Raw genomic sequence first — 23833 nt, forward strand, 5'->3', positions numbered from 1 at the left:
AGACAGAGGAGCCAGGCACCAGCACAAGCTCCAGGCCACACAGCTCAGCACAAGCTCCAGGCCACACAGCTCAGCTCAAGCCGCCACTCGCAGAGAAGTGACTTGAAGAGCCTTCCTGCCTCTTAGGCCTCAACTAAAAGTCCACTCTCCCTTTCAAGTTGCAGGAATCATAAGTGTTACCTTTTTATTTCTGAGCCTATTTCAGAAATCAGTAGTCACTACTGGCAGGGCCTGACTCTGTAGCTAGACCTAAGCTATTACTTTGAATTCTATTAAACTCAGAATGTTTTTCTATTTTATTAAAAAGTCAAAGCAGGTGCAGTAGCTCACACCTGAAATCCCAGCACTTTCGGAGGCCAAGGTGGGCGGATCGCTTGAGGTCAGGAGTTTGAAACCAGCCTGGCCAACATGACGAAACCCTGTCTGTACTAAAAATACAAAAATTAGCTGGACGTGGTGGTGCACACCTGTAATCGTAGCTACTCAGGAGGCTGACACACAGGAATCACTTGAACCCGATGGGGTGGAGGTTGCAGTAAGCCAAAATTGCATCACTGCACTCTAGCCTGGGCAACAGAGCAAGACTCTGTCTCAAAAAAAAAAGTCAGATAGTGGTTATACTTGAGTATATATTGTTATCAGCCTCATCAAAATGTACATTTAAAACTGGGCATTTTTCACATGTAAATTATCTTTCAGTGAAGTTGATGAATAGCTTTGTGGTTTTCAAGCGCGCTATTTGAGTCACATGTGCAGCCAGGATTGAGAATCACTGGATTCTAGAATTCCTAAGGGCCCTTCCTCTAAACTCTCTACAGCCTGTTTCTGAGATTCGTGTATGTGGTAGAGTTGATTCAGATGATCAGCCAACGAGCTTCAGAGAACACAGAGCAGGAAGAGCTGGGACAACTTCAGGGCCCTCAGCTGCTCTCGCTTTTTTTTTTTTTTCCTGCCCACCAGGTGGTCCTGCTGCAAGCTCAGCTGACTTTGGAGCGGAAGCAGAAGCAGGACTACATCACCCGCTCAGCACAGACCAGCCGTGAGCTAGCAGGCCTGCACCACAGCCTCTCACACTCACTTCTTGCCGTGGCCCAGGCCCCTGAGGCCACTGTCCTGGAGGCAGAGACCCGCAGGCTGGATGAGTCCCTGACTCAAAGTCTGACATCCCCAGGGCCAGTCCTGCTACACCCCAGCCCCAGCACTACCCAAGCCGCCTCCAGGTAGCAGCCACAGCCAGGAGCACACAGACAGAAGACTGTGTCATGGGTCATGGCCCCTCCGCACACCTACAGGTTTGCCAAAGGAAAAGCCTGGCTCTGTTAGGCACCCAGGAGCCCCAGGTCGGCGGGTGTTCCCAGGAAGAGGAAGTAAATCTGCAACCCTGGGGAGGACCCCAACTCACCTGGGAATGAGGCAAATTGCATTTGCTTGCTCCCTATGGAATCACCCAGAGGGGTGCCTTGCCCTGGCTGAGGGACATGTACTGCCTCTCATCTAGAATTTATTTTCCTAGCACTTCACCACCTCCTTCATCTTCTCCTTCAACAATAAACCCTGGGATCTTTGCATTCATTTTCTGCTGCTGTCTCCACTTGTGCAGCTGGGTGGCAGCACCACATCAAGGGAGTTTATCTGGGAAGAACTTGCCAAAGATTCCTGTTGAGGTAGCATGCATTTATTGTACACCATGCACTGTGATAGGGAAGGGTTACAGAGAACACACAAGACAAAGCCCCTGTCCACAGACAGCCTACAGTCCAGTTGATGAGAACAGGCTAACACTCATTTATGAGTCAGAGGCAATTCTGTGTACTGACTAGAAGAACTGTAGAAATTCCAGGGGCTGAGGAAGGGAGGCACGAACTGGCCCTTGAAAGATGGAGTGGGGTTGGAGGTGTTGCCAAGCACACAGTGAGAAGACTGGTCTGACTGTGGCAGGGGGTTGGGGCTGAGCTTGGGTGGGTTGAGCGGGGAGATTTTGGAGGGTTAAAAGAAGTTCTGGGGCCTCAAAAACACAGCGTTGACCTTTAGCTAAAGTCAGAGTCTCTGAGTTCAGAAGCTCCACATGGCCTCATTCCTCTTCTACTCTGGGTGAATGTCCTTGAGATGTCGCTTCCTGGGCATATCAGCTGGAACTGATCTGGTCGCCTGTAGTCCAACCATGTGTCAAGCCAATCAGAAGGATGGACTATGGCGGAACTTCTCACCCATGGACTGGTCCTAGTGGAGGCTGGACAGAACCCAGCTCACAGGCTTAAGACCTATTGCTGGCAACCTCCTCAAAGCCTAAAAATTGTTTAATTTTTTTAAGAGACAGGGTTTTGTCCTGTCTTCCAAGCTGGAGTGCAGTGGCACAATCACATCTTACTGCAGCCTGAAACTCCTGGGCTCAAGTGATCCTCCCACCTCAACCTCTCAAAGTGCTGGGATTACCGGTGTGAGCCACCATGCCCAACCAGAACAGTTTTCCTTAAAGAAGCAGGCCATTACCTTCCTCTGGCACTCCCACCATAATCTGGAATTCCTCTTTACTAAGCCTGGGGATGGAACTGAGACCTAGCCAAGAATCTGGGAGGGGTAAGAGCAGCACCCACTCACCCAGACCTCCTAATTTGGGGCTCAGCCCCATTATGTCTCATTGCACCACACAGAGTGGAAATGGGGCTGTTCACAGCGACTAGAGCTTTGTTCCAGAAACCTACACATGCAGCTCAGCAACAGATGCTTAGTGAAAACTTCTGAAACCCCAGAAACAGATCTGGGGCCCCAGAAATGCTGTCCTGGTCCCTATTTCCAGTCAGATTCCCTGTAGCTTAAAATCCTTACCTGGCTTTTAGGCCATTTATTTCTTTTTCCTTTTTTTTTTTTTGAGACAGAGTTTTGCTCTTGTTGCCCAGGCTGGAGTGCAGTGACGTAATCTCGGCTCACCAGTGGCAACATCCACCTCCTGGGTTCAAGCAATTCTCCTGCCTCGGCCTCCTGTGTATCTGGGATTATAGACACGTGCCACCATGCCCGGCTAATTTTGTATTTTTAGTAGAGACAGGGTTTCTCCATGTTGATCAGGCTGGTCTCGAACTCCCGACCTCAGGTGATCCACCCACCTCGGCCTCCCAAAATGTTGGGATTACGGGCATGAGCCACCGCGCCCGGCCCTTTAGGCCATTTTTATGCTAGGAGTTGTCAGAGACAAGACTTCTCTTGGTTGTTCACTTGTTACATCCTCCAGCCCTGGTTCTCAGGCTCGGGCTGACAGAGGGTCCCTGTTTTTTACCTTAGAGTTTCTTCTCAGCATCATTTTCTGTAGGTCATGAGCCAGGGCCTTAGGCCCCACATACCTTCTGGGCCTCAGAGAGGTTCCAGCAGCTGAAAGACATCTTAGAGGCTGCCAAGCAGGGTCTTTATTCAGGACTAGACTAATCTGTATTTGCTCTTCTCTTTCCATCCAACCCTCAAGAGCCCCCCAGCTCCATTATAGACCTCGGCCTAGGGTCTCCCCTCCCCACCAGATATTCAGAGCAGGGCTGGCCTTCAGTTCAAGTGTAGACTGTGCTCTTGCCCTCACACTCGAGCTTGTGGATGATCTTCCACTCCGGCTTTCTAAAGTACACTTTCCTTGCCCAGTAGCAGGATTGCCTCTGTGGAGTGTCCCACCAATAATGGTGACAACTGCTGTTTTCATCAGCTCCAGACCCAAAGAGACCTGAAGTGGGGAAGTGTGAAGGAAGGAATATGTGTCATCCAGGGGGGACCCAACTTTGCCTAAGGGCATGAGGCCGGAGCCTCCTTTCCTGACCTTGTCACATGTGGCAGGGTATAACCAGAATGGTGAATCCAGCAGACGGGAGGAGTCCCTGGCAGTCCAGCCAGTTCTCGTGGATGTACTTGAGGAAGGTGCAATTGGCCACCAGAACATGCAGGAGTAGAGGTTAGAGCTCAGCCACAGAGATTATCTTCTTGCAGAAAACTTTTTTCCCCCTTCCTAATCTTGTCTGCTTTGATAGAAGCTGGTACTGGCTGGAAAGGCCTGAAAGCAGGAGGGGACAAGAGTCGTCAGAGGCTGGGCAATGTTCTTGTTTCCGGGGAGTGCTGAGGTCCGGCGGGTGCTGCCCCTGTTCTCTCAAGGATCCCACGTGCTTTGTGTGTTAGAGCAGTGACCATCACCTCCCAACCCAAGGACCTTTGCTGCTCTGCTTCCCACATGGGACTGCCAGCACCCTGAAGGCAGAAAAACTGAATGTACCCGTTAAAGGAGGAGAAGCTGGTGGTGTATGTTGAGATAAGGAGGGTGGGGAGTGTACAGTTACAGGCTGCACAGGGAGGGCAAGATCAATGTTGACACCAAAGTGCCAAAGGCTGTCTGCGCCAGGTCTGGGGCCCCCACTGGTCATACCGCCTGATAAAACCATTGCAGTCCACACTAGGTCTGGAGGCTTCGACACCCACAGCATGTGGGTGTTCTCATGCAGGCCATGAGTATTCGGGGTGCTTTAAGTGCAGGGGAGTTCTGTTGTCCACGTTATTCTTAAAGCCCAGAATAGGCCCTGTTTTATTCTACAGAGATAGGAAGGCACTGGGGCTCACAGAGTGGTGCTGCTTCCCACCCTCACCCTTCTGCCCCCACCTGAGCACAGTGTGGTGCTCAGTGATGGTTATCCTATATTCCAAATACGCATGGCCCAGGACTGGCAGAGTCGGAGCTCGGGGTCTAGCTGTGACCTGGGGATCGGTTGGAGTAGCTTCTTGACCAGCCGGAATTGGGTTAGGTGTCCTAGCATTGGTGCCTATGGAGAAGAACACAGACTGTTTATCACTCACCCCTGGTTCCAGTACCAAGGAAAGGCTGGAGCCATTGCAACTGGAGGCCCAGCGGAGGAAGGGATCAAGAAGAGGATGCAGCCCAGAGCCCAGGACCGAGCATCCACCGGCCTCTGGAGATGGCGTGGTCTCCAGTTGCATCGGGGCTTCAGGGCCCATCTGAAGTGCTGATCAAACCAGGCAGACACACCATGCTGGTGAAGGCAGGCTTTGTAGATGCGGGGCTGAATTGAGCAGCCACAGAACCTCTGCAGCTCTGGGGCCAGTGGCAGAACTTCTAGAAGTACCTGTGGGGTGGGAAACCCCAGCCACAAAAGCAGTGAGCTGACTTCCAGGCCTGAGGCTTTGCCTGCAGGCCTCATCTCAGCCCATGGGACAGATTCCTGGTTTTTTTAGTTTGGCCTTGGGGTAGATGATACCTTCAGCTGTCCACCCTGCAATACCTCACCTCCTGCCTTCTGACCCAGTACTCTGCAGAGCGGGGGAATGGGGCCAGGGGACAGGGGCAGGGAAGAGGAAGAAGCAAGAGCTGCCAGTGTGCTCCAAACCAAGAGAGCCCTCCACATGATTCTGGGCACAGCTGAGGAGGAGTGCAAGCTCAACTCTGCTCACCACACTTAAGAAGCAGGCAAGGGAGGATGAAGGGCAAAAACATGGGGTCCTGAGGCCCTTTTACTCCCTCTACCCTGCTGGAGGTGAGGATGAGAGGTGAGACTTCGTTGGACTGTGCTCCTGGCCAGTTGATCTCACCCAACTCATTACATCAGTAGCCTGGTCACAGGGTGGACACTCTGACCTCTTCTTAGCCTTTCATTGGCAATACTACCAGCTCTATATATGCCCTTATAGGGCCTGAACCTTGGCTCAGGTGGATGGGCTTGGAGGTAAAATAATTGAATGGGTCAGGGGTAGGAGGAGAGATGAGTCTCTGCCAAGGCTGTGTGATGTGTCATCTGAGAGAGTGGGTAACCCCTATTCCCAGCACATGGCCATTTATTTAGAGCCAGGGAGGGGGACGAGAATTCATATTCAAATGTGATTCTTTCTTAATTACTACCAGTTGTTCAGGTGAGGGAATCAGGGAAGGCCAGATTAATAATCCACACATTGCCCTTGCACCTCCTGTCTTGGTTTCCTATCAAAACCTCTCCCGTATCTATGAACATTCCAGCCCTGCAGGTCAGATTGCTGGCCAGGAGTAGTCTCACATTCTAGCTGACTGATGGCCTCGGCTTCTGCTGTTGTATGTGGTTTGATGATTCATGCTGGAGCCTTTGGCTATAACTCTCTTCCCTGTATAAGGGCCATCTGAAGTTTGTCTGCCTGACTCCATTACCTGGTGAATGAGATTGGCTAGCTGCTGCTCCTGCCCCAGCTATTCAGTCATTTGGCAAATACTCATTTAAACAAAGCTCCACAGGGATCTCTGAGAAGGAGCTCACCTCTAGGCACACAGAACCTGGACACAGATGAAAGTTTGCAGAATGACCCAGTTGTGCAGAAGAGACCCACTGGCTGCTCTCAGTGAGGCCAGGGAGAGTCAAACAGAGCATCTTGGACAAAGAGAGGGCTTGAAGGCCCTTTCAAAGTGTCAAGCCAGTTGGATGCACGGGTTGTGTGGAGTCCAGGGGTACATCCAGAAGCAATGGCAGGTGTTATCCATTCATTCAGGTTAGACCTCTGAGCAGACGGCAGAAACGTCAGCCACAGGTGAGCATAAGCTCAAACCCCCCCATTGAAGGCTACATTCTTGTCCCACAGGGCAGAGCACATGGCAAGTGGCATGCTGACTCAGACACCGGGCACTGAGAAAAGTGGGAAGCCATGGTCACAGACTCTACATTCCCCTCTCCTGTTGGCCTCCATCCCTTCCTCAACCGTCCGCAGAACACCTCCTTCCAGCACCTTAGCTCCTGCCTCCCTCTGGACCTATTCAGTCCTCAAGGGTGCCCTGCTAAAGGCTGGGCTGAAAGCTAAGAGGAGAGGTGGCATTCAATGTGTCCTGTGTCCTCCCTGGGGTTGATTAAGGGGTCGATGCCCAATAGAGTCCTTCATCTTGGTGTTCAGCCCAGGGTCCAGCTGCCAAGGGAAGGCTTGGCAATCAAGGGTGATGGAGATAAGAATGAAAAGGGGCACCACCCTGTGCCAAAGCTGGCATGTTGTATATCTGAGAGAGGAGCTGCCTATTCACAGTGTAGGGTTGTCAAGCTGGAGGCAGGGAGAGAAAAGCAAGAGCTTTTTGGTTCCTCTTGAGGATAGAATCTATAGGAAAATGTAAGAGGGTTAAAAATAAATTTCCCATGCATCCAAACTTTTTTCTTTGGTAGACTTTCTTGTCATCTATTTAAAATGAAACAAGTGCATGTACGTGGTTAAGACATTTTAGCTAGGAATGATGGTGCGTGCCTGTAGTCCCAGCTACTTGGGAGGCTGAGGCAGGAGGATCGCTTGAACCTGGAAGGTCAAGGCTGCAGTGAGCCGAGATCATACCACTGCACTCCAGCCTGAGTGATAAAAGTGAGACCCTGTCTCAAAAAAAAAAAAAAAATTAAAGAAGTTAAACAGTGCCGGGCTTGGGGGCTCACGCCTGTAATCCCAGCACTTTGGGAGGCCCAGGCAGGCAGATTGCTTGGGCTCAGGAATTCAAGACCATCCTAAGCGAAAAAATATAAAAATTAGCTCAGTGTGATGATGTGCCTGTAGTCCCAGCTACTCGGGAGGCTGAGGTGGGAGGATCACCTGAGCCCAGGGAGGTCAAGGTTGCAGTGAACCATGATCATGTCACTGCACTCACTCCAGCCTGGGCAACAGAGCAAGACTGTCTCAAAAAAAAAAAAAAAGGAAATTAAATAAAAAGAAGATAGCAGTTTCCCACCTCATTCTTCTCAAACTCCTCTTCAGAGGCAGCGGGTTTTGTTTTTTTTTTAACTATGTTTTTCTACTGGCTCACTTTATTCCTCTAAAATAGTAACTTGTCTATGTGGTGCCATAACGGGTCCAGTATCTGGACACGAGGCCGCACTACCTACACCTTTGGGGATTCTCGGATCCTGACTCTGAGCTACCTCATTCCTAGACACCTGGTGCACCACAATGTGTCAGGGATGTCGGTTTATGTGGGATATTTGCATTTTGTTAGGTTGTGTGTGGTAGTTGAGCAGCCAAGGGGGTAGCATGCGGTGGATATTTGTTTTAGATACACAGTAACTGGAAACTCATTTACTGAGGCTATTTGGTTACCCTGAACTACTGTTTCTACCAAAAAGGCAGGATAAATGCTCCCTCAACACACACCTTTAATTACCAATTTTCAGAGTAAGGGGTTGAGGTAATAGCCACCGCCAGTTTTCCCTTTCTCTTTGAGTATCATTATGAGCTCAAAGTTTTTTATATATTCACTATGATTCAATCATGACAGTTGCTATTTTTGATGCTCAAATTGCCGCAAATCTAATGTCCAAGTGTTCTTGTACTTGTCTAGGCCTAGAATCTTTTAGTGAAGAAAAAGTATTTAGAAGACAAAAATCAGGCTGAGTGCAGTGGCTCACGCCTGTAATCCTAGCACTTGTGGGAGGCTGAGGCAGGCGGATTGCCTGAGCTCAGGAGTTGGAGACCAGCCTGGGCAACATGGTGAAACCCCGTCTCTACTAAAATACAAAAAATTAGCCGGGGGTGGCGGTGTGCACCTTGTAGTCCCAGCTACTCAGGAGGCTGAGGCAGGAGAATTGCTTGAACCCAGGAGGCAGAGGTTGCAGTGAGCTGAGATCGCGTCACTGCACTCCAGCCTGGGTGGCAGAGCAAGACTCCGTCTCAAAAAAAAAAAAAATACGAAAAACAAAAAACATAATCTGGATTGCAGGGCTGATCGTTGCTAATGGAGTGTTATGGCTGTTCAGATGACAGAGGGAGAAAATGTACTTTGTAAACTGTTAGTTCAATGAGGTTATGATTGCACAACAATGTGAACATACTTAATGCCACTGAACTTTATTGCCATTGATAACTTTTAAATGGTAAATTTTGTGTATTATTTTGTCACAATAAAAAGTTTGAAAATCGAGTTCATAATATTTCCAGTTTGGGCCGACCACGGTGGCTCATGCCTGTAATCGCAGCACTTTGGGAGGCTGAGGTGGGTGGATCACAAGGTCAGGAGTTCGAGACCAGCCTGACCAACATGGTGAATCCCTGTCTGTACTAAAAATACAAAAATTAGCCGGGCGTGGTGGTGCGCGCCTGTAATCTCAGCTACTCAGGAGGTTGAAACAGGAGAATCACTTGAACTCGGGAGGCGGAGGTTGCAGTGAGCCGAGATCGCGCCACTGCACTCCAGCCTGGGCGACAGAGTGACACTGTCTCAAAAAAAAAAAAAAAAAAAAAAAAAATTCCAGATTGAATTTAATGTCACAGAGTTTTTAGCCTGTCCACCTGCCCAATTTTGTATTGTTTCTTTTTTTTTTTTTTTTTTTTGAGATGAAGTCTCACTTTGTCACCTAGGCTGGAGTACAATAGTGCGATCTTAGCTCACTGCAACCTCTGCCTCCCAGACTCAAGTGATTCTCCTACTTCAGCCTCCCAAGTAGCTGTGATTACAGGCAGCCTCCACCACACCTGGCAAATTTTTGTATTTTTAGTAGAGATGGAGTTTCACTATGTTGGCCAGGCTGGTCTTGAACTCCTGACCTCAAGTGATCCACCTCCCTTGGCCTCCCAAAGTGCTGGCATTACAGGCGTGAGCCACCACACCTGGCCTGTGTCTAGTTTCTAATGTTGTTAATATAAGTAGTTATTTACTTATTCAAGACCAGCCTGGGCAATATAGTGAGACCTCAACTCTACAAGAAAATTTAAAAATTAGCTGAGGGTGGTGGCACGCACCAATAGTGCCAACCATTCAGAAGGCTGATGTGGAAGGATCACCTGAGCCTAGGAGGCAGAGGTTGCAGTGAGCCGTGATCATGCCAGTGCACTCTATCCTGGGTGACAGAGTGAGACTCTGTCTCTAAATAATAATAATAATACCAGCACTATAATGAAAATACTGAGTCAAGTTTAAAAAAAAATTTTTTTTTTTGAGACAGAGTGTCACTCTGTCGCCGAGGCTGGAGTGCAGTGGTGCGATCTCGGCTACTGCAACCTCCACCTCCCAGGTTCAAGCGATTCCCCTGCCTCAGCCTCCTGAGTAGCTGGGATTACAGGCACACACCGCCACGCCTAGCTAATTTTTGTATTTTTAGTAGAGATGGGGTTTCACCATGTTGGTCATGCTGGTCTTGACCTCCTGACCTCATAATCTGCCCGCCTTGGCCTCCCAAAGTGCTGGGGTTACAAGTGTGAGCCATCGCGCCTGGCCTAAAATTTCTTCTTAGTTCTTTTTGTCCACAGAGACTATCCTACAAAGAATATACAATCAAGGTGTTGAGTTTAAGGAACTTGAAATAATTATTTCTCTGGTGTTTATATTATCAATTAAATATAGTTAGGTCCATTTGATGTGTTTTCAACTTCAGGGTTCACTTTTTTCTCATTTAATTTTATTTTTTGGTAAGATACAACATAAGAGAGTCACATGGTGATAAGACAGAATCAGTAATAGAATGTAGCCCTTTAATGCCACCAGAAATCCAGAGAGAGAAATAAGCTAGGGTTTTATTCAGTAGCAGAGTAATCTCCATCCAGGGTCTGCTTGAAGCCCTAGTCCCTCTCTGACACCACAAGGTCCCCTTGGCTACCTGTCAAGCCTCCTGGGGACTCCACTGGAAACATCTCAGCCGTAGACAGCAATCTTCCTCTCACACTGCAGTTTCAAGATGATCTGGTATTCTGCTGGGAAATTTTGCATGGTGTTCTCAAACCAATATTTGTCATCCCAGTAATGGGACCACCTTTTGCAATTGTCTTCCCCAAAACCAAACAAGGATACCTGAGAGATTGGATAAGACAAAAGATGGTGGTGGTGTAACGGGCTGGATCCTGCCCTGCCCCCATGGAACACCTATCATGCCTTCAGCACCACTCACTCAACCACTAGTGTGCCAGGCTTCCTCTTGGAGCTGGGAGGAGAATGGAGTTCACCTTCTTCAAGGAAGACAGACTCTAAATACTCATAGTGACCCCAGAGCCCAGAAAAGAGAGCACCAACTAGTTGTTCTTCATTATATATTGAGAGAAGAGAGGATTCCCCTGGGAGACAAGGGAAGGGCATTCCAGGCAGAGGGAGCAAGGTGTGAGAAGGCGTGAGGCAGCTGGTATGTTTGGAGAACCCCAAGAAGTCCAGTGCGGGAATCTGGGAGAGAGGAGAGGGAGAGAGGAGAGGGGTCAGATCATGTAGGGTGTTGAAAGCTAGGCAGAAAGTTTTAGATTTAACGGGAAGTCCTTGGGAAGACAGATTTTTTTTTTTTTTTTGAGATGGAGTTTTGCTCTTGTTGCCCAGGCTGGAGTACAGTGGCATGATCTTGGCTCACCGCAACCTCCGCCTCCCAGGTTCAAGCGATTTTCTTGCCTCAGCCTCCCAAGTAGCTAGGATTACAGGCATGCGCCACCACGCCTGGCTAATTTTGTATTTTTAGTAGAGACGGCGTTTCTCCATGTTGGTCAGGCTGGTCTCGAACTCCTGACCTCAGGTGATCAGCCCGCCTCAGCCTCCCAAAGTGCAGGGATTACAGGCGTGAGCCCCCATGCCCAGCCAAGAAGACAGAAATTTTGAGTGGCAGAGGAGTGAAAGTCCGTGAGTTGCAGGAGATATCTTACCTGGTCACAGGTATGCAAGGCATACAACAGAGCCACAAACTCCAAGGACGGATACTGACCATGGTTCTCCAGCCAACTTTCCTGGATATACCTGAGGAAGTAGAGGCTGATCACCAGCACCTAGGAAGATGGAGAAAGGGACTGACCTGAAGCCTGTCCCATGGCTACCCACTATCATGTTGTCCTACCACTTTCCCCTTTCCTTCCTGGGACCCTCACCTTATCTTTGCTGTCTTCGGTTCCACCAGGAACCTGAACCGTCTGAAATCTAAAAAGAAATTGAGGTTTGGGAGGATTTCAGAGTCATTTGACAAGCAGACTTCAGCCTTAAGTAAGCCTTGGGGGTGCCCCAGTATCCAGCCAGGGTCTCTTTGGAGTTACCTCTGTCACTCCCTACAGTGACCTCACTCCCTGACATACCCAGGGTTTTTTTTGCTTCCACATGCTTGTCTGTTTATGCAGTACACTTATGAACCACTCCAGACCAGATGAATTCAACGGAAGCAGCAGCAGTTGGGTACCGGGGTCCTGAGGGCTGGCAATCCCAGGGTACATAACGCGCATGGTGGTCCTGTTCCCCACATCTGCCTCAAAGCCTCAGACAGGGGCCTGGTTCATCCTGAAAAGGAAGTTAGGATGGTCATTTAGAGGAGGAAAAGGCTTCGGCTTGGTCTTCGTCTCCACCTCCTACCCTGCACCCACCTGAGGACCACTTCATGTTGATTAATCCTGAAGCCAAGGCCAGAGCTCCATAGAGACCTTGAGTTTCCCACCACTGCACAGACCCGGCAGTTGGACACCACATGGCCCAGTGGGCACAGGGGAGGTGCTTTAATCAGCTGCTGCTGCTTATTCTCAACCTCCTTCTCTGACTTGACCCTCTCGAGTCCCTAGGAGCATAGGAGGGAAGAATTTAGGGGCTTGACCCAGGTTCCACCTACCTGTGGAAGAAGGTTAGAGCCTGGGGCCTTGATGGAGAGATGGCTAGGACCTGGGGTTGGGTCAGGGACTGGACAAAGACCAAGTTTGCGCACTGACCAGCCACAATATCAGAGCATCATTGGACGTGGGATCTTGTGGCCTCTGTAGGGGTTCAACGGTACTGTCGAAGCGTCTGTCAAACCAGTCAGACTCGCCAGGCACGTGGAGGCAGGCAGAGCATGTGTGGACCTCAGATGAGCAGTTGCATTTTCTGGAAAAGTTGCTGGGATGGTGGCAGATTCCTGGGTGTATCTTGGCCATATTACGGAGGTCCTTCTGGCTGGAGTGCTGGTGTAGGAAGGAGGTGATCAGCCACAATGAAAGGACATAGGCAGCCACCAGGCCCAAACTCCTGTATCGAATCATGATCTCTGGCCCTGATGATGGTGCCCCTGGCAGACAGTAGATTGGCCCCGACACCTGGCACCGGGAAGAAGAGGCTGGGGCCACAGAAGTCCCCAGCATCCCCCATCTTAATGGCTTCCATCCCTCTCCCAACCCTTGACATTACACCTCCTCCCAAAACCTCGCTCCTGCCTCCCTGGCCACCTACTGATCACTACTGGAACTGCCAAAGCCTGGCCTAGAGGCAGAAAGAAAGGGAGAGAGGACACTTTTTGTGTTCTGTGGCCTCCCTGAGGAAACTGATTCCTAATGGGGTCTTCTGTGCCAGCCCAGTGATATCAGGGACTCATCACAGAGGCCACGTTGTGACCTACTCCACCAAGGCCCCTCCTTCACCTTGGCATTCAGCCCAGTGCCCAGATGACCAGGGAGGTGTGGTAGTCAAGGGTCCAGGGGACAGGAGGGCACAGAGGGAGAGGTTGTATCCAGGCTGGGGTGGGTGAGCAGGAGGCAAAGAGGGAAACAGAAGGGCCACCTTGGCGATGGCTCACACCTGTAATCTCAGAGCTTTGGGAGGCCAAGGCAGGAGGATCACTTGAGCCCGTGAGTTCAAGAAGGGCCACCTGGAATCTTCTGAAGAGAATTTACTATACTGATGAAAGAGAATATTTGATACCTTTAGCCCTTAACACCTCTCAGGGGTCGACTTTTTCTTTTTAAGAACTGTTTTTTTGTGGTTTTTGTTTGTTTGTTTTTTTGAGATGGAATCTTGCTCTGTTGCCCAGATCTTGGCTCACTGCAACCCCCGCCTCCTGGGTTCAAATGGTTCTCTTGCTTCAGTCTCCCAAGTAGCTGGGACTGCAGGTGCACACCACTGTGCCCGGCTAATTTTTTTTTTACTTTTAGCAGAGACGGGGTTTCACCATGTTGGCCAGGCTGGTCTCAAACTCCTGAGCTCAAGTGATCTGCCTGCCTCTGCCTCCCAAAGTGCTGGGATTACAGGTTTGAGCCACTGCGCCCGGCCAATCCAGTGTATATCTTACACTTATAGTGTATCTAAATTCAAAGCGTTTTGTCAGAAATACATGATTTATAAATTTCATAAAATTTTACAGTCAAAAAAGATTTACATACCCAAGTTACAATAAGCATAGTGAAAAGTTTTCTAAGAACTGAATTGTTTTGAAATTTAGATTAATTAAAATAAATTTAAAAATTCCTTCCTCACTTGCATTTGCCGCATTTCAAGTGCTCATCCATCATATTGGATGGTACAGAAATACAGGCTAATTTAATTCTAAAAGTCAACAATCTACTATTAGTGTTTACATTATTGTAACTAGATAAATATTTCCTATAGAGTTTGTAAATGAACTAAGACTACCTTTTTTTGTTCATGATAATTTTTTTTTTTTTTTTGAGACAGAATTTCGCTCTTGTTGCCCAGGCTGGAGTGCAATGGCATGATCTCGGCTCACTGCAACCTCTGCCTCCCGGGTTCAAGCAATTCTCCTGTCTCAGCCTCCTGAGTAGCTGGGATTACAGGCGTGCACCACCATGCCTGGCTAATTTTTGTATTTTTAGTAGAGACGGGGTTTCATCATATCAGTCAGGCTGGTCTCGAACTCCTGACCTCAGGTGATCCACCCACCTTGGCCTCCCAAAGTGCTGGGATTATAGGCATGATCCACTGTGCCCGGCCTTTTGTTCGTGGTAACTTTCTAAGAAAGGGTGTGTAGGAGATAAAACATTCTAAGTTTGCATGTCTAGAAACGCCATTATTCTGCTTGCAGGAGGTAGAATTGTGTTACTTTAAAAAAAAAAAATCTTTATGTTCTCACCCCTGATACTTATAAATGTGACCTTATTTGGAAGTAGGGCCTTTGCAGATACAATGAAATTAAAATGAGATCATGCTGGATGAGAATGGGCCCTAATCCAATGACTAGTGTGTTTATAAGATGAGGGAAATTGGCCGGGCGTGATGACCCATGCCTGTAATCCCAGCATTTTGGGAGGCCAAGGCAGGCAGGTCACTTGAGGCCAGGAGTTTGAGACCAGCCTGGCCAACATGGCGAAACCCAGTCTCTACTAAAATACAAAAAATTAGCCAGGCGTAGTGGCGGGCACCTGTAATCCCAGCTACTCGAGAGGCTGAGGCAGGAGAATTGCTTGAACCTGGGAGGCAGAGGTTGCAGTGAGCTGAGATCATGCCACTGCACTCCAGCCTGGGTGACAAGAGCAAGACTCCATCTCAAAAAAAAAGATGAGGGAAATTTGGAAACAGAAGACACAGGGGAGTATGCCATGTGAAGTTGGAGGTAGAGACTGGAGTGATGCCTCTGATGCAGGGCAGGCAATCCCCAAAATTGGGGCTTAGCCTGAGAGGGTTCTTGGCTTTGCCCTGATGCGATCCAGTGGTGTTAGCAAACTGTATTGAAGCAGCATTGCACAGCAGCAGCAGAGGTACACTGCTTCTTGTGGACAGGGCTACCCCATAGGCAGTGTGCCCAGAGTTAGCAGCTCAGCAGCAGCTCTGCAATCCTATTTATACCCACTTTTAACTACATGCAAATTAAGGGGTGAATTATGCAGAAATTTTCCAGGCACAAGCAGTCCTCCTGCCTCAGCCTCACAACATGCTGGGTCTGAGCCACTGTGCCCAGCCAAAAGTCTGATTTTTTATTCTTTGTTAACTGTAGCAGTTGGATTCTTGGTCTTGGTCAACAGACTGGTAAACTTCAGAGAAAAACAATTCGCCGGCTAAATATTTAGTAGTTTACAGGATGATGCAAAAGCTAGAGAACCAGGCTCAGTCTATCATGAGATGCAAAACATGGCCAAAGACTACCCCAGGAATGGCCCACCTGGAATGCCACCACTGCTGCCAACACAACTGGGCCCTTGACACTGTGGTAGTCTCATTATGGCAGATTCTCTTCAGCTCTTTCCATTAGGAAGAGCAGTTCATTTCCCCACTTCTTGGATCTTGGATCACTTTATGACTTGATCTGACCAATGGAATGCTGCAGAAGTGACACGGTAAGTGCTAGGCACAGTGACTCACACCTGTAATCCCAGCACTTTGGGAGGCCAAGGCAGTAGGATTGCTTGAGCCTAGGAGTTCAAGGCCATCCTGGCCAACATGGCAAGACCCCCTTTCTACAAAAACAAAAATTAAAATTAACTGGGTGTGGTGACATGCATTTATAGTCCCAGCTACTCAGGGGGCTTAGGTGGGAGGATCACTTGAGCCCAGGAGGTCGAGGCTGCAATAAGCCATGATTGTGCCACTCCATTCCAGCCTGGGCAACACAGCAAACTCTTGTCTCAAAAAAAAAAAAAAAAAAAAAAGCGAATTGGAACTGAGGCACCTAAAAAAACTGGGAACCTCAAAATGCTAAACCTTCTGTGAAAAGCTGGGCAAAAAAACAAAAAACAAAAAACAACCCTCACCCTCCGGCATGGGTGAAACAAGGAGGTTTACTTCTTTTATCGAAGTGGGTAAAGAGCCTCCCCCAACAACTCAAAGTCTGGGTTTGCACTTGGCATGAAATTGAATCTAAACTTATACCTCCTACATGATCCAGGGCACTAGGCAAAGAAATCAACTCAAATATTGCCCCTGAGATCTGGAAGGCACCTCTGGCCCATCCCTCCCAGACACTGTGGTTACAGGTAAGACAATCAGGCCAGGATTTTATTCAGTACCAGACTGATCTTACAATTTCCTCCTGCCCTTTACCCACCCAGAAATAGGATTTGTATGGACTCAGCTAGGCTGAGCTTGTGTGAATAGTGAGCTTGTCCACACGCTAGCTGATGGATGACTTCGATTTCTGCTCCTGCACTAGACGTGGGCAGTATTTCCTTGGAGCCCTTGGTCTGATTATCCTCCTTCCAGTGATAGAAACACTTTCCTTGCTATTCTGATCCAAATCCAAAGAGGGTGACCTAGTGGATAAGAGAGGGACATGTGCGTCAGCAGGCAGACTCCTGTCCTCACCCCTGCCTCCCTTCACTCAGCATCTAGGATGACAGGTTGTCCCTGGGAGCTGGGAGGAGACTGGAGCTCACCTCCAGGAAACAGACTCTGGACACTCTCCTAGAGTCACTGAGGATCCCAAAAAAGAGAATGTCAACTCACTTTTCCTCATGGTATTGGAGGAAGAGAGGGGAACCCCCAGGACGTAAGAGAAGGGCATTCCAGGCAAACGGAATGGTGCGAGAGAAGGCATGAGGCAGCTCATGTGTCTGGGGAATTCTAAGAGCCCATTATGGGAGCCTGGGAGACAGGAGGCAAGGGGAGGAGTCAGAACATGTATAGTCTTTTTTTTTTCTGAGATGGAGTCTCGCTCTGTCACCAGGCTGGAGTGCAGTGGCGCAATCTCGGCTAACTGCAACCTCTGCCTCCCGGGTTCAAGCGATTCTTCTACCTCAGCCTCCCGAGTAGCTGGGACTACAGGCATGCCTGGCTATTTTTTGCATTTTTAGTAGAGATGAGGCTACCACCATGCCTGGCTATTTTTTGTATTTTTAGTAGAGATGGAGTTTGACCATATTGGCCAGGCTGGTCTCGAACTCCTGACCTCATGATCCACCCGCCTCAGCCTCCCAAAGTGTTGGGATACAGGCATGAGCCACCACGCTTGGCCTACATGTAGAGTCTTGAAAGCCAGGCAGAAAACTTTAGACTCCATGCTGAAGGCATTGAGGAGCAGGAATTTTAAGAGAAGAAGATACAAGAATCTTTCCTGCCGGGGCACAGTTGTGCAAGACACAGAACAAAGCCTTGGGCCCCAGGGATGACCCTGACCCTGGTAAGACAGCCAGTTGTCCTGGTTGCACCTGGGGAGGAAGGGGGAGGGAACTGACCTGGGGCCCTTCCCACAGCAACCCACAGCCACATCCTACCCCTTTTCCTATTCCCCCTCACCGTGTCTTTGCTATCTTCCACTCCACTAGGGAACCAGACCATCTTCCAAAATCTGAGAAAGAATTGGAGGTGGGGGAGTTTGGGCCACAAGACCTGGGAAAGTCCTGCAAGTGTCCCCAGTAAGCCAATAGAAGGTCTTCCCAGAGCCCCTGCTGTTACTCCCTGCAGTGACCTCCCCTCACCCCCACACAGAGAATGTCTGGGGACACCTCCATCACCTTATCACTTAGAGCATCTGAAGTCCACACCAGGTCAGAGAGCTTCCGCAGTAGCATCTCCAGCTGCATCCAGGAGCCCTGGTCGCTGGCATTCCTGGGATAGATGAAGCATTGTGTGTGGTTTGGTTCCCCACGTCCATCTCAAAGCCCTGGACTTGGGGCCTGCTTCATCTTGGGAAGGGGAGCAGAAACTGATGGAACTGTGGGGCAGGCCTGGCCTTCCTGCTCCCGCCCTCTCCCCAGCACCCACCTGAAAACCACGGGGTATTGGTCGATGTCGTTGCCAAGGCTGGAGCCCTGCGGGATCTGTGGGCGCCCCAACAGCACACAAGTCCCACAATAGAAATCAAAATGGCTCACCGAGAGCCTGGGAATCCCTTTAAACAGCTTCCTCCACAATTTCCCAAGCTCGCTCCCTGAGTTCATGCCCTGGAAACAGCAAGAGGGAGATTGGGGGCTGGGCCCAGGGGAGAGAAAACAGAGCTGGGTGGGTGAGATCTCCATCCAGAGGCTGTGAAGACAGGGCCAAGGGCAGGGATTTGGGCGGAAAGTGGGAGATGGGTGAGGCCCGGAAAGCATGGGGGATATGGCCGGGCCCAGTGTTGACCACTGACCAACCACCAGAGCACAGTGTCAGAGGTCATAGACTCTCTTGTCCTCATCAGGTACCCCATAGTCTTCCTGGAGCACGCATCAAGCCAGTTCCATTCGTCGGCTGTGTGGTGGCAGGAGGAGCAGTTGAGGGTCTCAGAAGGGCAGCCACACTTCCCGGAACTGAACCAAGGGCAGTCGCAATGCTGTGGTACCAAGTACATTCGTTTTTCCTGGGGTGCTGATTCAGGTGTCAGATCCAGATAGGGGGTCATCAGCCAGAGGATGAGCACCCAAAAGACCCACAGGACAAAAATCTGCCAGCGCTTCATGTCTGGCCCAGGCGGTGGCTCCCGTGGTGGGCCGTAGACTGGCTTCTCTACCTGTAAGGATGAGGGGCTGAGGCCACAGACAGCACCAGCTTCCCTCTGTCCTGTCGGCCTCCACAACTCCCCATCCCACCACCTTCCACCTCCTTCCAACCCCTCCTCTCCTGCCTCACTATCCATTTGCTCACCCTCAAAACGGTCTCTGACTGGGCATGGGGTGGAAGAGGCCAGGGCAGAGAGACAGCATGTGGCTAGTCCTGAGAGGGGAAGGAATACCTCAGTGGGGGCCTTGCTGTCATCCCAGTTATATCATAGATCTCATCACAAAGTACACATTGTGACCTCCCTCCTTTAGCCTGCCTGAAAAAAGCCACCACCCTACCCTTTCTCTGACACCGAAATGACCTCCACTGGATGTAAGATTCATGAGGACAGGGGCTGACCTAGTCTCTCTTCTTCACCTCTGCAGCTCTAAGACTTAGAATCATTTAATAAATATTTATGGGATAAATAAACAGGGGTTGAGAGGGAACTTTTTTTTTTTTTTTTGAGATGGAGTTTTTGCTCTGTTGTCCAGGCTGGAGTGCAGTGGCATGATCTTGGCTCACTGCAACTTCCGCCTGCCTGGTTCAAGCGATTCTCATGCCTCAGCCTCCCAAGTAGCTGGGACTACAGGCATGCGCCACCACGCCTGGCTAATTTTTATATTTTTAGTGGAGACAGGGTTTCGCCATATTGGCCAGGCTGGTCTCAAACTCCTGACCTCAAGTGATCCGCCCACCTCAGCCTCCCAAAGTGCTGGAATTACAGGCGTGAACCACCATGCCCAGCCGGGAACTTTATTTTTAAATTATTATTATTATTATTATTATTATTATTATTATTATTATTATTTTGAGACGGAGTTTCACTCTTGTCGCCCCAGCTGGAGTGCAGAGGCACGATCTCGGCTCACTGCACCCTCTACCTCCCGGGTTTAAGTGATTCTCTTGCCTCGGTTTCCCAAGTAGCTGGGATTACAGGTGCCCGCCACCACGCCTGGCTAATTTTTTTGTATTTTTAGTAGAGACGGGGTTTCCCCATGTTGGTCAGACTGATCTCGAACTTCTGACCTCAGGTGATCCGCCCGCCTTGGCCTCCCAAAGTGTTGGGATTACAGGCATGAGCCACTGCACCCCGCCCCAGCCTGGAACTTTAAATATACTTGTGTGTGATGCCCTCTCTGGAGTTGTGTGACATCAACTCAATCCTCTCTTGTAGTCTCTAGACCCCATATCCAACAGCCTACTGAATTGCCACTTAGATGGCTCAGAGACATCTCACCTGAATAAGCCTGAGACTGAACCCAGGATTTTCCCTGTAAACCAACCCTTCCCAAAACTTCTCTGTCTCTTTTGTTTTGTTTGAGACAGAGTCTTGCTCTGTCACCCAGGCTGGAGTGCAGTGGCGCAATCTCAGCTCACTGCAACTTCTGCCTCCTCCGGGGTTCAAGCAATTCTCCTGCCTCTGCCTCCCGAATAGCTGGGATTACAGGTGCGTGCCACCAAGCCCGGCTAATTTTTTGTATTTTTGGTACAAACGGGATTCCACCATGTTGGCCAGGCTGATCTCAAACTCCTGACCTCAGGTAATCTGCCCACCTCGGCCTCCCAAAGTACTGGGATTACAGGCGTGAGCCACTGCACCCAGCTTCAAAACTTCTCTATCTCAACAAATGGTTCCACCACGTACCCAGTTATTGAAACCAGAACTCATGTGTTATTAATTCCTCCTACTCCTATGATACCCAAATTCTTTTTTTTTTTTTTTTTTTAGGACAAAGTCTCACTCTGTCACCCAGGCAGGAGTGCAGTGGCACAATCTTAGCCCACTGTAGCCTCTGCCTCCAAGGTTCAAGCAATCCTTTCACCTCAGCTTGCCAAGATGCTGGGACTACAGAAGTGTGCCACCACGCTAGGCTTATTTATTTATTTAATTTATTTTTGAAACAGAGTCTCACTCTGTCGCCCAGGCTGGAGTGCAGTGGCACAATCTTGGCTCACTGCAACCTCTACCTCCCAGGTTCAAGTGATTCTCATGCCTTAGCCTCCCAGGTAGCTGGGACTACAGGCGCACAACACCACACCTGGCTCATTTTTGTATTTTTTTGGTAGAAACGGGGTTTCACTGTGTTGGCTAGGCTGGTCTCCATCTCCTGGTCTCAAGCAATCCGCCCACCTCGGCCTCCCAAAGTGCTGGAATTACAGGCGTGAGCCACCGAGCCTTGCTGATTTTTTTTTTTAAGTAGAGATGGGGTTTACTGTGCCAGCCCTGTCTCGAACTCAGCTCAAGTGATCCACCCTCCTCGGCCTTTCAAAGTGCTGAGATTACAGGCATAAGCCACTGAGTCTGGCCTCAAATCCATTTTTTAATTCGTTTCTATTTCTAAGTCATCTTCTTCATCTCCACTGCCACCCCCTTAATTCAATTGTAGTCTTGTAAAGATAGTAAAAAAATGAAAATGTTTGAGTTGTTTTTAAAGTTTAAGAAAAAAACAGAACATTTTGGTTTTTAAAAAAAATCAAAACATTTTATTCAATGGGATAAGAACAGTAAAATTCTTCATCTTAACTAGTGGAAAGCTGCACTGGATATTGTATAGCTTTTAAATCAATTCACCCAAATATCTGAGTAAGGTGTGTAGGCTAGTTAATTATATCATACCAACGTCAAGTTCCAGGTTTTGAAAAAGTACCATATGGGCTGGGCGCGGTGGCCCACGCCTGTAATCCCAGCATTTTGGGAGGCAAGGTGGGCAGATCACCTGAGGTCAGGAGTTCGAGACCAGCCTGACCAACATGGAGAAACCCTGTCTCTATTAAAAATACAAAATTAGCCAAGCATGGTGGCGCATGCCTGTAATTCCAGCTACTCGGGAGGCTGAGGCAGGAAAATTGCTTGAACCCGGGAGGCGGAGGTTGCGGTGAGCCGAGATCGCACCACTGAATGTGATTTTAGCTGGGCAAAAAGAGTGAAACTCTGTCTCAAAAAAAGAAAAAGAAAAATTACTATATGTATTATATGGTAAGACACTACCATTAAGAGAAAATGAAGGCCAGGCACAGTGGCTCGTGCCTGTAATCCCAGCACTTTGGGAGGCCAAGGTGGGGTTTGAAGCTTGAAGCCAGGAGTTTGAGACCAGCCTGGGCAACACAGCAAGACTCTACACACACACACACACACACACACACACACACACACACACACACACAAAATTAGCTGGGCTTGGTGGTGTGCGCCTTTATTCCTAGCTACTTGGGAGGTTCAGGTGGGAGGATCACTTGAGTCCAGGAGTTAAAGGCTGCAGTGAGTTATGATAGCAGCACTGCACTCCAGCCTGCGTGACAGAGCAAGACTCTGTCTCTAAAAAAAAAAAATAAAGCAAAAATAAAGAATAAAATGGGAAAATGGATGATGGGTACATGGGAATTTTCTGTACTATTTTTACAATTTCTTGTGTGCCTATGGTTTTTTCAAAATGAAAAGGTTTTAAAAATTATCTACCAGCCTGGGCAACGTAGGGAGACCCTATCTCTATAAAAAATATAAAAATTGGCCATTGTGGTCCCAGCTACTCAGGAGGAGACTGAGGTAGGGAATACTTGAGCCCAGGAAGTCAAGGCTTCGGTGATATGTGATTGCACCACTGCACTCCAGCCTGAGTGACAGAGTGAGACCTTGTCTCAAAGAAAAAAAATCATTTAGGAAAAGATGTATAGCAAGTTTTATTGCTATTTCATTTACATCAACTGCTACAATTTTTTTTTCTTTTTTGAGATGGAGCCTTGCTCTTTTGCCAGGCTAGAGTGCAGTGGCATGATCTCAGCTCACTGCAACCTCTGCTTCCCGGGTTCAAGAGATGCTCCTGCCTCAGCCTCCCGAGTAGCTGGGACTACAGGTCCGAGCCAGCACGCGCAGCTAATTTTTGTATTTTTAGTAGAGACAGGGTTTCACCATGTTGACCAGGATGATCTCAATCTCTTGACCTTGTCATCTGCCTGCCTTGGCCTCCCAAAGTGCTGGGATTACAGGTATGAGCCACTGTGCCTGGCCAACTGGTATAATTTTTAAAATTTTTGTAAACTCATAAAATTTACCATTTTAACCATTTTAAAAATATTTTGGCCGGGTGTGGTGGCTTATGCCTGTAATCCTAGCACTTTGGGAGGCTGAGGCAGGCGGATTGCCTGAGCTCAGGAGTTCAAGACCAGCTTGGGCAATATGGTGAAACCCTGTCTCTACTAAAATACAAAAATTAGCCAGGCGTGGCGGTGTGTGCCTGTAATCCCAGCTACTTGGGAGGCTGAGGCAGGAGAATTGCTTGAACCCAGGAGGCAGAGGTTGCAGTGACCTGAGATCGCACCACTGTACTCCAGCCTAGGCAATGGAATGAGACTCTGTCTCAAAAAAAAAAAAAAAAAAATATATATATATATATGTGTGTGTGTGTGTGTGTGTGTGTGTGTGTGTGTATATATATATATTTTTATTTTATATAATATATATAAAATTTTATTTTAAGTTCCAGGATACAGGCCAGGAGCAGTGGCTCACGCCTGTAATCACAACACTTTGGGAGGCCAAGACAGGGGAGGGGGATCACAAGGTCAAGGGATTGAGACCATCCTGGCCAACATGGTGAAACCCCATCTCTACTAAAAATACAAAAATTAGTTGGGCATAGTGGCGCGTGCCTGTAATCCCAGCTACTCAGGAGGCTGAGGCAGGAGAATCGCTTGAACCCAGGAGGCGGAAGTTGCAGTGAGCTGAAATCGAGGCACTGCACTCCAGCCTGGTGACAGACTCCATCTCAGAAAAAAAAAAAA

At 48.9% G+C, this 23833-nt stretch overlaps 2 protein-coding genes across 35 annotated transcripts in view; one reads left to right on the top strand and one right to left on the bottom strand.

Annotated features, from left to right (window-relative positions):
* CEP250 (centrosomal protein 250) overlaps nt 1–8878 on the top strand; it is a 64116-nt gene extending 55238 nt beyond the window's left edge. For 18 of the 25 annotated variants that reach the window (XM_006723691.2, XM_047439854.1, XM_005260262.5 and 15 more), the window contains one exon: nt 961–8878. In XM_006723691.2, the coding sequence (XP_006723754.1) occupies nt 961–1224 (264 nt within the window). In that variant the 3' untranslated portion in view covers nt 1225–8878. 25 annotated transcript variants of the gene reach the window in all.
* C20orf173 (chromosome 20 open reading frame 173) lies at nt 10339–19250 on the bottom strand. 10 transcript variants are annotated; one of them, XM_047439907.1, is made up of 12 exons: nt 19157–19250; nt 18663–19022; nt 18299–18477; nt 18049–18142; nt 17831–17882; nt 16644–16848; nt 12607–12837; nt 12271–12458; nt 11989–12187; nt 11788–11836; nt 11569–11688; nt 10405–10641 (listed from the first exon to the last, which is right to left on the bottom strand). In XM_047439907.1, the coding sequence occupies exons 2-5, from the start codon at nt 18969–18971 to the stop codon at nt 17856–17858; spliced, it is 609 nt and encodes a 202-aa protein (XP_047295863.1). In that variant the 5' UTR covers nt 18972–19022; nt 19157–19250; the 3' UTR covers nt 10405–10641; nt 11569–11688; nt 11788–11836; nt 11989–12187; nt 12271–12458; nt 12607–12837; nt 16644–16848; nt 17831–17855. The 10 variants fall into 10 exon arrangements, 9 of the variants coding, with proteins under 9 accessions (XP_047295863.1, XP_047295862.1, XP_047295860.1 ...); XM_047439906.1 differs by having other exon boundaries at nt 10405–10644; XM_047439904.1 differs by having other exon boundaries at nt 10405–10741.
* Between the last annotated feature and the right edge of the window lie 4583 nt (nt 19251–23833).

This window comes from Homo sapiens, chromosome 20 (assembly GCF_000001405.40).
Source record: "Homo sapiens chromosome 20, GRCh38.p14 Primary Assembly".
In the NCBI taxonomy this organism is placed as follows: Eukaryota; Metazoa; Chordata; class Mammalia; order Primates; family Hominidae; genus Homo; species Homo sapiens.